The following is a 14063-nucleotide window of genomic DNA, read 5'->3' as shown; positions in this document are numbered from 1 at the left end:
TCTACTTTTGACATGTTAGTCAACTATAAGATAAAGGATTTTTTTTCCTCCAAATATCTCAGAGGAAATGGGACATAATAGCTGTTTTATTGATTTATTTTTAAAACGTATTGCTACATTTGCTTCATCTCTGTGTATATATGGTTTTTTCTTAACCATTTGAAAGCAAGTTTCAGGCATTATAACATTTCACCCCAAATACCCTGGTGTGCGTCTCCACAGATTGACATTCTCCTACATAGCCTGAGAAAATTAACTTTTATTCAGTAATGTTTGGAATTCCCCAGTTGTCTCCAGATATCTCTTTAGCAATGTTGATAATGGTTTTGATCTAGGATTCAATTTAAAATCACACATTGCATTTATGTTTATGCTTCATTTGTCTTCTTTAATATGCAACAGTCTCCCTAGCTTTTTTATTTTCCCTGTAACAGTGACTTTTTTGAAGTCTTGGCCAGTCGCTGACTTTTTTAGGGTCCATTTTTAAAGAATATATAGAAATGCAAACAGCATCCAGAAATGCTGCCCTTAGGCTTAGAAATCTCTAATATTGTTGATTCTCTCACTTCTCACATTTATGTATTTGTGTTGACCTTAAAACAGTGGTGAAAGAACAGAGTGACACAGATGGAGATAATTGGGTCAGAGATCATTTGTGCATGTTTGAGGAGAGGGCTTTTGGGGGGCTCATTAAACGGTTTTTAGCACAGCTTGCTCAATAGTTGATTTTACCATTTGTGGATGATTTTTCACCTATTAAATTTGAGAATTTATCCTTACACAGGTTAGCTGTGTGAGATATTAAAGAAAAACGGCACATTCTTCCATACCTACACCAATTCTGCTTTTAGAACTTGTGTCCCCTAACTAAATTTGATAACATTGTCAATTTTTGTTTTTGGAAACTGTTGCCAGGCAGGATCAATGTTAAACAAGTTTGAGCATGCCTCTTATTTGGTTTGGAAATCCAGACATCTCCTTTTCCAGATATTCTTTTTTAAGTGCCAGAACCTGTCCACTTAACCTTATCTCCTTGTGAACCTTCTTGTTTCCCAGAACAGAGTATTATCTACTATTAGAGTCATTCACTAGTGCTGTTAGAGCAGTTACAAAGAATATTGAGGTATAATAGATTTTATGTGTAAAATGAGTTTTTAATCTGCTCAGTCCTAAAATAAATATTTCTGACCCTCTCTGGTAATACTGTAGAACTTAAAAAATAAGTCTTACCCTATCTACATCTTTTTTCCTGCTAACTAGGTATTTGAGCTTTGTCTCAAAATTCGTCAAAAAAGGCAAGAGCTAAGAGTAGGCAGCACTATGTTGGAAGCACAAGGTACACTCCCTCCTGTGACTTAAAGCCCTCTGGTCTTTGCCAGTGGAGTACTCAGACAAGTTAAGGGCAAATCAGGGAAAAAGAGGTCATACCTGCTCTTCCCTGGTGGATTTTTCGGTTCTGTTTTGCCAGTGTCCTTGTTATTTTTCCATGTCCCTCTTCTTGATCATCTTTTCCTCTACCTTCTTTCCCTGTGTTCTACTCACTCCCACAACCACAGAATATTAATAGTATGGGCAGGTGTCTCGGACTTCTCTCCCCTCCCACCCCCATTCTTGGACTATGCAGTATGTAATTCTTCCTCTAGAGGGAAAGGAAGTGAGATGGCAGTGGTCACAGAGAGGAGCAGTGACCCAAAGCTGGTGGCCAGGAGACTTAGGAGAAGGCCTTCATTTCAGGATGATGGCTCTGGAACCCTGAGCAGTGTATGGCCATTACTATTTGTGTACATTCCACATCATATTTGTTCAAGTGTAATGGGAGGCTCTGGAGACCTAGGCCAGCCCCCTGAGCTGCAGCCTCATGGACACGCCATTCAGAAGCACGTGTCAGTGCTCTGGTCAGCTTCTGTCATGAGACACAACTTTCCATGTGAACTAAGAGGATAATGACAGTTGAGTGTGACCTGGAGGTCAGGCCTGCACAGCTGATTTGGGAAAGATGAGTCTGGGCCAGATGAAGGTAAATGAAACTGAAGAAGGGACAAGGAAAACCCCAAAACAGAACGTGAAGGATGGCAACTGCTGGAAGGCGGTCAAAGCCTGTGTGTGAAGTAGGAGAAATCTGGATGGGCTTAGTCCTTCTTCCCTTCAGACCGCAGGGTAACTAATTGGCAATTTCTTTAACACTCAGCAGCTACATAAATGTTTTATGTATTCACAACAAAGTCTGTGGCAAATTGAAACTTTGATGATTATGAAACACCAAAGAAAGCCTTATTAGACAAGATGGGTTTCGTCTTTCTTAAAAAAAAAAAAAATGCTTTTGAATGGAACTGTTGCTCATCATAACATTCAACAAAAGTGTTTTCCTACGTCTTGATCCTTGGGGCTGTAATAGTGAAGTTTACCATTAGCACGGGCATGGGGTGGCCGCCTTGAACAGTCCACAGGCCTGTACTTGTGGGCAGTAAACAGCTTTTGTCAGCAGAGGGAATTATTATTTCTCTTGAATGGACCAGTTTATTTTTTCTATTTTAAAACAACTGAGTTGTTTCTTTGGAAGACTGTTTCTAGACCATCACAGAAGAAAGATTTTCTAAAATTTGATATATTTTAGTATTAACTCTGTGGTGCTATTTGATGAGGACCAGGCTGCTTTTTTAAAAAGTAGAAATTTAATTGAAGTAACATACAGAAATCACAAGAGTACAGCTGCATGATGAATTCTTACAAACGGTATAAGCATTTAGATCAGAAAACGGAACTTATCAGACTATAAGAAGACTCCTGTGCCCCCTTAACAGGCACCACCCCGTCGAGAGTAACCTCCCTCCTGACTTTCAAACACCATAGATTAGTTTTGTCTTTTTTTGAACTTTATATAAATGGACTTACATGGCATGTACCCTTTTGTGTCTGGCTTCTTTTAGCTCAGCATATTTGTGAGATTCATCCATGTTGTTAAGCATAATTGCAATTTCTTCATTCTCCCTTCTGTGTAATGCTAAGATTTTGTTGGGGGTTACACTGAACCTATAGATAAATTTGGGAAGAATCGATATCTTTATAATGTTAAGCTTTCCAATCCACGAGCATGATCTATCCTTCCATTTATTGAGAGTTCTTTAATTTTTCTTAGTGTTTTGTGGTTTTCAGTGTAGGCATCTTTTTTCTTTGTTTTTTCTTGAGACAGGGTCTCACTCTGTTGCCCAGTCTGGAGTGCAGTGGCATGATCACAGCTCACAGTAGCCTCAGCCTCCCGGGCTCAAGTGACCCGCCCACCTCACCCTACCTCATAGCTGGGACCCCAGGTGCACACCACAGTCCTGGCTGAATTTTTTTTTTTTTTTTTCGTATCTTTTTGTAGAGACAGGAATTTGTTATGTTGCCCAGGCTGGGCTCAAACTCCTGGGCTCAAGCGATCTGCCCTACCTTAGCCTCCCAAAGTGCTGGGATTACAGGCATGAGCCACCATGCCTGGCCCAGTGTAGACATCTTATATGTCTTTTATTGACACTTTCCTAGCTATTTGATGATTTTGTTGATATTGTGTATGCTTTTAATTTCACATTGTTTTAGTTACTGTATACTAAAAGTTTTTTTACATGTTGACCTCATAGCCAATGACCTTGCTTACTGATTCTTATACTTTGTGGATATTTTTATATTTTCTATGTACCTAACCAGGCCATCTGTTAATAATGACAGCTTTCTTTCCTTCTTTCTAATTTGCCTTATGTTTATTCTTGCCTTATTGCATTGGCTAGGACCAGGCTTGGATTTTGATCCCTGTGTCAGATAGAAAAATCTAAGGAGTTCCGTAGTCTAATAAGAAAAGCAACTATGAAATTGGTTGACTTGTGAGCATCACATCTAAATTTAAAATGGTGTTATGGTTGTCTGCAAGGCAATACATGTACTTGATTGTGCATACCCACAGATATGGACTTAATTACATCTTATCAGCTAACTGCCCTTCTTTTTTCTACCCCTGACGAGCTAAGACTGTCATATATATTTGTGCATAGATCCTTAGCAGAGTTCTTATAGTCAAATAGGGGTCCAGACAGCTCACGCAAGATCTTCCTGCCTCAGTGGTGGTAGTAAGACAATTGTCCAGAAGCAATTGCAGGGCAGGGCAGGGCTTCTGGGGAGAGAGATGGCATCCATGGCTGCAGTGCGGAGTCTGGGTGGTAGTGACTGGCTATAGAAGATGCCAGGTCTTCTGAAGTGCTGGTAGCTGTCTGAATGAGCAGAATGTTTTGATCAGCTCGACTATAGAAGGGAGAGTGAGATCTTTTAGATGGAATGCTAGAATGGGAGGCAAGGATTACAAAAAGTGAAGGCTGCCGGGTACGGTGGCTCACGCCTGTAATCCCAGCACTTTGGGAGGCCGAGGCAGGCGGATCACCTGAGGTCAGGAGTTTGAGACCAGCCTGACCAACATGGTGAAACCCCATCTCTACTAAAAATACAAAAAATTAGCCGGGAGTGGTGGTGCATGCCTGTAATCCCAGCTGCTTGGGAGGCTGAGATAGGAGAATCACTTGAACCCGGGAGGCAGAGGTTGCAGTGAGCCGAGATTGCACCATTGCACTCCAGCCTGGGCAACAAGGGCGAAACTCTATCTCAAAAAAAAAAAAAAAAAACGAAGGCTACTGGAGTCAGAGATGGCATTGCTTGTGACAATGGAGGTGAAATAGAGATCCTGGTTAATTTTGGTATCCCAGAGCCAGACAAAGGTGTAAGTCCTTGAGTGGATTTAGGGGTATGACGTGTGGCTCGCACTGGGGAGTGTAGGGTAAACATGAGGATACAGCCCTGAGAGCTGGAAAAAAGTATCCTTCTGTTGTCTTCTCCCGTATTGTCTTCCTTCTCTCTTTCCCTTTATCTTTTATTCTCTCTTTGATTGGTCTTTTTTCTCTCAGATTCCTTCTGGGAGCCAATATAATGAAAAGACTAAGAACTGCATAGGTAGGAATCCTGGCCACTGACCAGCTGTGAGACGTGGCAAGTGACTTTGAGCCTTTACGTGGCAAGTGACTTTGAGCCTTGTTTTCGTGTTCGTAAAATGAAGACAATGGAAGCATTAATAGCTTTCTCATTGAATTGGGAAGATTGAGTGAAATGATGTATGTAAGAGCAACTGGGCATAAAGGAAATGGTAAGGGGTCTGGCTGGCTGCCTCTTTCTTGGTCTGCCTTCTTTGTTCTTTTCCAGAGGTATTAGTTCTTCTCATCCATTTTTCCTTTGTTCTAGAGCATATTCTGTTAAACAGGTGTAAGTGGTATTTTTGTTTAGTTGAAAAAAAGGTTTATGCCTTCTATTTTTAATGTACAAAGTGAGCGAGTAGAGTATCTCCCATTTCTGTCAGTGTGGTAGAAGATGACTAAAATGACAGTGCGGAGGCCCTTGCCTCTTCTCCCCTCGAATAGCAGCACCCCTAAGCCCTTTAGTTCCATTGGGCCTCAGGATCCTTATCTATAAATGTGAGGGCTTGAATTCAGCATACTGAGGCCCTAATCTATCTCTGATTGCATCGTTGAGAAGATGCTAAAAGTCAGATGCCTCACTAAGTTATGCGGGCCAGCCATGTCTGTTTTGCTTAGCATCATAGGCCCCCGACATCCAGAATACCTGGCCCATCGAAGATACTCTGTGAATGAATGAATGAATGAATGAATGAATGAATGAAGACAGAAAGAAAGATCTTCATGACAAAGAAGGTAGTCCACATTCAGCAGGAATTATTTTCAGGGCACCACTGACTTTGTGGGCCCCTCTTCTACAATTCTGAGTTTAAACTCAAAGTTTCTAATTGCAGAAGATGTTTATTAGCTCAAATGTCAACTTTTTTTTTTTTTTTTTTTTTTTAGCATTTCTTTTCAAACTTCCTCAAGAGTTCATGATCCCTTTTCAATTCCAATTTGTTGCCATCCTTTATAGTCCTGGGTCTCTGTCATCATTTAGCAAGTCAGCTGTGCAAAGGTAAATACTATTTTTGAAAGCACAGGGTATAATTACACAACATCATAGCACCATCTGCAAGGTGCTGTGCCCTTTTCTTTATTTCTCAAGGCTGCATCACATACCTCATTTTACAAATGAAGAAACAGACTGAAAGCAAGGAGCATTCCTTGGCTTCTGAGTTCCTGCTTTAAATACACCACTATCTCTGACTAACACATGCCAGAATTAGGCTCCTTCACACATCCTCTAGTCCCACAGACCTTTGAGGAGCTGAGCCTTGTTCCTCACCACTCACAGGGCCCCTCATGGCTTTCCTGTCAGTGTAGATCTGTGAAACTTTCCATTCTTGTTCCTGCCATGTTTTGTCCTGCGGGGAAAGTATATGTAACTAACATTGTACCCAGCCTTGTAGGGTAGATGTGGTCCCTGCCTTCACGGTTAAGAACAAATTGGAAATATAATCCATTTGTTCACAAAAATACTTTTTGAACTCCCCCTTTGTATAAAGAATATACTATTCCACATATAAGACGTTTTGGGGTAGAAGGTACTATATAATTTAGAGCCAAAATGATGTGGTACACACTAAGTACTGTCTGGATTTGAAGAAATCAAGACATCAGAATTCGCTGGCAGCTTAGATCCTTTTAGATACGTGCAGTTCCTGAAACAAATACAAAGTGTTTCTGGGCAACTTTGGCATACCCTCTGGTGTTAGACTTGTCAGCAAAATTGGTAACTGTTATAATAATATTGTGACAATGTCAAGACACTTCTAAAACCTGAAATCAGACCATTCAATAATACCCTAATTGTTTTCTTTCCAAACTTAGGTAAAGTGGTGATTGCAAATGATTATCTTTAGATAAAGCAAGAAAAGTAGACGTTTCAAGGACATGTAGCTTTTGTTTAAATTGGGTCATCATTACCTTTCCTCATTATTTTGCCAAAACTTTTATAGCAGAAGACTGGTGAGAGGAAGGGCAGTGACCACGGGGCAGTGCTGAGAACTGCCAGACTATCTACTGTGTTGGAGGAAGGGATTTCTGTGTCAAATTCTCATTTACTAGCAACATTCAAACAAGCTTCGCTATTTTCTGTGTCTGAATATCTGAAACAGTTGATAACAATTGAGTGTTGGCTGCCATGATGTCACCATCAAAAAATCACGAGAGAAACTCTAATGACTTCTAAATATAATCTGCTAGTTCTCAACTTATTTTATGTATTCAGGAAAAGCAGTTGGCATTATATAAGAAAAGAATTATGAAAACCTGTCCTTTCCAGTCAGTCACTGGCAAGACTTTGCAGCAACATTGCTTTATAACCTTGTCATCTGTGATAGAGTCATCTGTCTCGTATTCAATCCTGAATTCAGAATTTGGGATTATAGAGGCACCTGAGAGGCCAGTTGGCTGGAAGATAGTTCAGCCTTATCAGATATTAATAGAAAAGAGATGATTGTTTAGGCCGAGTGCGGTGGCTCACGCCTGTAATCCCAGCACTTTGGGAGGCCAAGGTGGGTGGATCACAAAGTCATTAGTTCGAGACCAGCCTGGCCAACATGGTGAAACCCTGTCTTTACTAAAAATACAAAAATTAGCTGGGCATGGTGGCGGGCACCTGTAATCCCAGCTACTCGGCAGGCTGAGGCAGGAGAATCGTTTGAACCCAGGAGGCAGAGGTTGCAGTGATCACGCCATTGCACGCCAGCCTGGGCGACAGAGTAAGACTCCGTCTCAAAAAAAAAAAAAAAAAGAGAAAAGTGATGATTTGTTTAGCTAGTTCTACCTCGTATAATTACTAAGAAGTAACTCCTAAAGATGTTTTAGGAGTAAACATTGAGTCAAAATGAAAATGTTACTGGGTCACCAGACCACTGACTGTAGTTAGCTATTTAATGAGACCTTTGATACAGTGGCCAGTGGCCAGCATAGAAGCTTAACTTGCTCTCCTTCCCCACCTTCCAAGGTAGCTAGACAAGGAGTAACCATTCTAACTCAACTAGAAGGCAGCCCTTATAGCGCAAAATGCATCTTTCCACTTTGGATAAAATGCTGTCTCTGCAACAATTTAGCTCCTAGAGAAGACAGAAAAGGCAAACTCGGTTTTTTGTTCTTTGGGTTTATTTTGGCCACTACATGTAAATCACCTTGATTTGAAAAATTCTTGTTACTCTGCCCTCTCAGAATCCTATGTGGTATATGTAGTTGGCTTCCAAGCCAAAAGCAGTAGCTCCATGTATTTATTCCATGAATTCAGCAAAATTCACTGCACCATCTATGAAAGGACTGGTTACGCAAACCTACCCTTGCTGGTCGGTCACTGAGACAGGCCTGGAGCAGATGTTGTAAGCACAAAGGTAGCCAGGCTTTCTGCTTTCTGTATTCATTAGCCTTTCCTAGGTGGTGGATTGGTCTGTTGTTTTATTCCTTTGCTTTTAAAATTTTTGGAATGCCTCTAAAGTTGAGTATTTCTTGCTGAGAGCTGATATTTAAAGTTACTTGAGAAAGGACTTTTTAAAAATTCTATATTTAATTTGTAAATATGCATCTGAATAAGAAATATATTTGCCACAGCAATTTTAAGCCTTTGATAAGCTTAAATGTGTTGGTAATGTCTACCAACACATTTTTGGTCGTTTTGTCCTTTTTGGAAACAAAATTCTTCATGTCTGCAGCCACTTGCATTTTTGGTGGAGACCCATTACCTGCAAGGTTTTTAAGGATTTTGCAGCTTCTGGAAAGCAAGACCCATGACCAAAGAAATTTGGGAAAAAAGACTTGGCTAATTAAAAGTATCAGATGATGATACTTTTTCTGACTTTGAAGAATTTAATTGGCTTTGGATGGGAGGTTGTGTGTTTAAGCGTTTTGCTTTTTCTGACATGTGACTTGACATGAGTTCCAAGAACAATCAGCTAGTTAGAAGGTTTGCAGAAGGAAGCATTGTGCTCCCTGTTAATCAGCTGTTCTCTCTCTATTCCCCTCTCATCCCTCTTCTGATTTCAGTGGTGCTTCATGCCCCACCTCCAACCAAGATCAAACGGGAGCTGCACAGCCCCTCCTCTGAGCTGTCGTCTTGTAGCCATGAGCAGGCTCTTGGTGCTAACTATGGAGAAAAGTGCCTCTACAACTATTGGTGAGTGGGCAAGAGGAGTCGAAGAAAGGCTGCCCAGAAAGGCTCTGGAAGTAGCCATCAAGCTGAATGTTCCTTCCCAGTGTTACTTACCCAGCAGACCCTGTGGTAAAACATATCCTTCTTTCATGGCAGTGTCATCCTCCGGGTGTAGTCCAGTCCCCTTGGGATCATTGTACTGCACACAAAAGAAAACCATTAAAAACCTTGTGGCTCTACAGAGCACTAAGTTCATAGGGTACCCAGTCCTTCTAGGGAAAGAGTCTCAATCCTGGGATACTTGATCTGTGGCTTTGAGGCAGGTAATATATACTTCTTCATGTCTATCATATGTTAATGTGAACTTTAAGCACCAGAGAAGTAATCTCCAAATCAGAATATATGAAAAAGTCTTGAAGCTTGTGCCCTTTACTTAAGAATATCCAGGCCCCAGGAATGAAGCTTTAATTTTAAATCATTCTTTGCTCTAGAAGATAAACATAGATTTGCCTGAAAGGGGGAGGAGAAGAGTTGTTAATTCAAATGATGTCACAGCACAAACAGACCTTCAACACATATTCTGACTAATTCCTGGGAACCCTGGAAATAGTTGGGAGAGGGGACCAGAGAACACCTGGCAAACATACATTCTCCCCTCACCCACCCACCCTACACAGGCATACACGGAGAATTCTTTTAGAAGGAGGGAAAAAGGAAACCGGAAGCAGAGGCTAAAATTATCCTTGAGAAAAATCACTAGAAGTGTTAAACAAGTCCCTGTGACGCAGTGTGTTTGTCACTTTTCAGAGGTACAAATATCCCCTCGGGGCTACGAGCGATTTAACTATGTTAATGCTGTTATTTCCTGGCAACAATGGGCTGCAAACTAGCTTTCTGCTGGACCTGGTAACCATGCTAATGGCTTCATTTCAGCTTAATGGTTCCTTCTCTTTTTCTGTTTACAGTGCCTATGATAGGAAGCCTCCCTCTGGGTTCAAGCCATTAACCCCTCCTACAACCCCCCTCTCACCCACCCATCAGAATCCCCTATTTCCCCCACCTCAGGCAACTCTGCCCACCTCAGGGCATGCCCCTGCAGCTGGCCCAGTTCAAGGTGTGGGCCCCGCCCCCGCCCCCCATTCGCTTCCAGAGCCTGGACCACAGCAGCAAACATTTGCGGTCCCCCGACCACCACATCAGCCCCTGCAGATGCCAAAGATGATGCCTGAAAACCAGTATCCATCAGAACAGAGGTGGGTGTTGATCTGGGCTTCTTCCTTAATTGTCTCCCTCACTCCTATCCTTTCTCACTGGGAGAGGGGAAGCAGTTTGTCTTATTTACCAGGTTCCTAAAAAGTTATCATTACATTGAGGCAGCTTGTGAGGCAAGACTAATGATAATACGAATATGACTGTTTATATACCACCCTGTTCCCAAGGTACTCCAGATGGTTGATGGACTACGACATCCTTATAAAGTAGGTAAGGGAGAGGTAACTGGTATTCTCCCGTCTCACAGAACTAGAGGAAGAATGACTTGCCAGGATAGTCTTGTCCCTCACTGAGGGCAGGTTCCTGACTCCTCATTGGATGCTGCCTACTATTAATAGAATTGAACTTCAGTTATTACCATTTCACTTACATATAAGGGACAATTGCTGATTTATACAAGGTAATATTACTTATCTGATTTTAACATGTTTTAACAGTAGGAGATTAGCTAAGGACCTTATTTGTACATCTGCTTTTGAAATAGAAATCTCCTGGTTACACTGCAGGTGGTTTTTACATTTCTACAGGCATTGAGGCATCAGGAGTAACTTGTCCAGAGTCATTCATTTGTCAAAAAAGTGTGTGAAGGGAACCTTCTCTGCACACTCCAAACCTGACCTCTTTATCTGTGGTATTCTAGAATCTCGGATGCTTGTGGCCTTCTTTTATAGAAGATGTGCTGGGGGCCTGTCTTTATTTCAAGTTTCTCTGGGATAGGGGGGTAGTTGTCAACAATATTACCAAAGGATGCAAGATGGTGGCCATGGTATTTCATATCTATCTATCTTGTGTTAGGTGGATCGGTGTGGGGGCCACAATGGGGCGGGAGTGGGAAGAATATATGAGTATACCTTTCCCAGGCCTGGTCCATTCCAGATGCCTACCAGTATTTACTTGGAGGTCATTTTATTTCTAGATGAAATGCAGGGGAAAAAATAAGGTCCCTTTGTCTGGTTCTGATCCCCTTCCCGTTTTGCTCTGAAAGTCACCATTAAGAACGGCAAAATATGGCTGGTTGCTGTTTATTCCTTGGTTAGGCCAAGGAACACGAACGCCTGTGTTACACAGGGCTCAAGGGGTGAGCACTGACGGGGTTGTGGGGGGCTGGCTCTGGAGTGGGCCTCTATTGCCACCGGGGACTCATCTGGAGGACACAGCTGCCGCTGAGCTTTTGGCAATTGTTACCTTGTACTAACAACCTGTACTTGTGCAGAAGAATTTGGTTACTTGGTTTTTTATGTAAAAATTGTAGACTTTTTTTTTTAAGTTGGCAACTAATTCAAATTAAAAACAACACCTCTGCAGACTAAACAAAACTTCTCTGGGCAAAATCACCCTGCAGGCCTGCCAATTTGTGAACTCTGGCCTAGATATCATTTTTATTTCAATGGTTTTTTGGTGTTTTTAAACAGCATCTTGCTGATTTTCTGCAAGGGTTATGGGGAAATTGGGGAGGAAGTGTGGGGTCGAGTATATATTCAGTATTTGAAACTCTTAGCAAACTTCTATTTGTTATACCATGAACTGTAAAAGAAAATTCCTTTATCTAATATTTCCCCCTCAATCCTTGTTTTTTATCCAAGGGGCTTATGTAACATACTGTATTAACAGTTAACTGAGTTGGGAGACAAATATCCTAGTTCTCCTGGAGAATTGGGAGATGGGTAGCCCCAGTCTCAGCTGTGAAATAAGCCTGTCTCCAGTCCACCCAGCCCCCTGAGAAGGAAGGAGTTTTGGATTCCTGGGATTGATGAGTTATTTGCCCGTGGGTGTTGAAAGGAAGAGAGGAGGGAACCAGAATGCAGGTATTTCTTTTCTTGGGTGATTCCTCCTTGAAGTCTGCCTGTGCATTTTGGACTTACTTCTTGTTATACTCTGCCTTTGAGACTGATGGGTCTAAAATTCAAAGCTCTCACACACACACTGGGGTGATACAGAGATCCTTGAGGTAATTGAGGTGAAGGGGGAGGAATTCTGTAGGTGACCAAATCGATTACAAACAACACTGGGCACTTGGATTTCCACTCAAGAGTGCTGTCCTCTCAAAGTTGAAAGTGCACAGGAGTCCCCATGGGAGTGTGGAGCGGGGATTTTCAATGCAGAGTCCTTGTTAACATTCAGAGATAGAGTGTGTGGGCCTGGGGCGGGGCCTGGATATAGTCTTGTCACACTTTGAGAAATTGTGATCCAGCTCTCTCTACCCTCATCCTTATTCCACCCTACCTTTATTTAAAGCATGTATTACCAAATTCTATTCCTACTGCCTTTGTCTATTAATATGGTCATCCACGTGATATCTATGTGACATAAAACGCATCAAAAACGTGACAGTGATTTTTCTTCTAGATACTGGATAGTACACAGAAAATGAGACAGACCAAAATCCCTGGTTTGATATTTGTAAAAGTAATAGAAATTACAGTCATGGATAATATCAAGCTTCATAATCACATATTTAATAACTTTTATGCCTGCCCAAAAGTGGGGCAGATTACTTTTATTGGTGACTATAGGTTGTCTCTTGGCTTAGAACTTTTTATTAAGATTAGAGGGACTATTACTTCAAAACGAAATCCCTAATACAAATATATGGTATTTTGCATGATAGAAGTAAAGAGAGTCTCATTTGAAACTTTTAACCGCCCTGTGACATAGGCAGAGTGAAAAAACCCATTTTATAGGTTAGAAATCAAGCCTCAGCACAGTTAAAGGACTTTCTAAAGCTCACATAGCCAAATACAGGGTCCTACATTCAGCAACCAAAAACTTCCATGACGTGTAATTACGCCATTTGTTTCAGTTATGATTTTATTTGGGCTGCTAACATCCACTAATGTCTACTATAAAAACTGAGTAATTGACCTTGATAAATTTGTTTTGACCTTGAACATTATCTGTTTTTTTATTATACTTTTAAGTTCTATCTATCTCTTCAACTACAAAATCTTAATAAATTCCTACATCATTTAATCCAAACCCATGTGCTTAACATGTGTCTTTTTTGTTTTGCTGGGTGTGCCGTATCTGTTCAGTTGAATAGAGTAAGCTCTTTGAGGATAAAAACCTGTGATTTAGACTCCTTTCTTTAGGCCACATTTAGCCTTGTACCTTATTTGTCCTCAGTATATGTTTATTGATAGTGATAAAAGTTTGCTAAAATTATACCGTAAATAGCTAAAATGTAATCTAGTCAAAAGTACACCCTTGCCACACATGGCGGCACACACCTGTAGTCCCAGTTACTTGAGAGGCTGAGGTGGGAGGATCACTTGCCCTCGGGAGTCCTGGGCTCTGTAGTACACTATGCCGATCTATCAGGTGTCCACACTAAGTTTAGCATCAATATGGTGACCTCCTGGGAGTGGGGACCACCAAATTGTCTAAGCAGAGGTGAGCTGGCCCAGGGGTCAGAAACAGAGCAGGTCAAAACTCCCATGATCTCATTGTGCCACTGCTCTCCAGCCTGGACAACACAGTGAGACCCCCATCTCTAAGAAAATAATGAAGAAAGAAAAAAGTACATTCTTAATGTTTTATATAGTCTTAGCATGTAATTCTTCACAACTCAATTTATTTTTAGAAGATAAATACTGTGTTTGAAAGCCATGATTTATACCAGTGATTTCCTCCCCACAAGGAGAGGGGAAAAGACATGTAATTTGACATGTTCAGACATGTGCCACTTATCCTGAAAGACCAGCTGAAAA

General features: G+C 41.3%; 1 protein-coding gene and 2 long non-coding RNA genes across 3 annotated transcripts in view, besides 1 other annotated feature; 2 read left to right on the top strand and 1 right to left on the bottom strand.

Annotated features, from left to right (window-relative positions):
- Positions 1–14063, top strand: part of ETV5 (ETS variant transcription factor 5) — a 62776-nt gene that overhangs the window by 18936 nt on the left and 29777 nt on the right. Inside the window, exons 6-7 of the mRNA NM_004454.3 lie at positions 8979–9108; positions 10050–10337. Coding sequence (NP_004445.1) covers positions 8979–9108; positions 10050–10337 — 418 coding nt within the window. The remainder of the gene's footprint in view (positions 1–8978; positions 9109–10049; positions 10338–14063) is intronic.
- On the bottom strand, positions 9207–10984 carry ETV5-AS1 (ETV5 antisense RNA 1). The gene is made up of 2 exons (NR_046594.1): positions 10813–10984; positions 9207–9594 (listed from the first exon to the last, which is right to left on the bottom strand). It is a non-coding gene; the product is annotated as an ETV5 antisense RNA 1 (long non-coding RNA).
- On the top strand, positions 10345–13332 carry LOC124909470 (uncharacterized). Its single transcript, XR_007096205.1, has 2 exons — positions 10345–11122; positions 11940–13332. It is a non-coding gene; the product is annotated as an uncharacterized LOC124909470 (long non-coding RNA).
- Positions 12392–12587: a silencer, noted in NCBI's record as "fragment chr3:185795356-185795551 (GRCh37/hg19 assembly coordinates)". NCBI's record gives its function as "represses an EF-1alpha promoter that drives an FKBP-Casp9 reporter gene in an ReSE screen in K562 erythroleukemia cells {active_cell/tissue: K562}" and the evidence as "EXISTENCE:reporter gene assay evidence [ECO:0000049][PMID:32094911]".

Source organism: Homo sapiens, chromosome 3, assembly GCF_000001405.40.
Source record: "Homo sapiens chromosome 3, GRCh38.p14 Primary Assembly".
In the NCBI taxonomy this organism is placed as follows: domain Eukaryota; kingdom Metazoa; phylum Chordata; class Mammalia; order Primates; family Hominidae; genus Homo; species Homo sapiens.
This window is presented reverse-complemented; position numbering and strand designations above follow the sequence as displayed.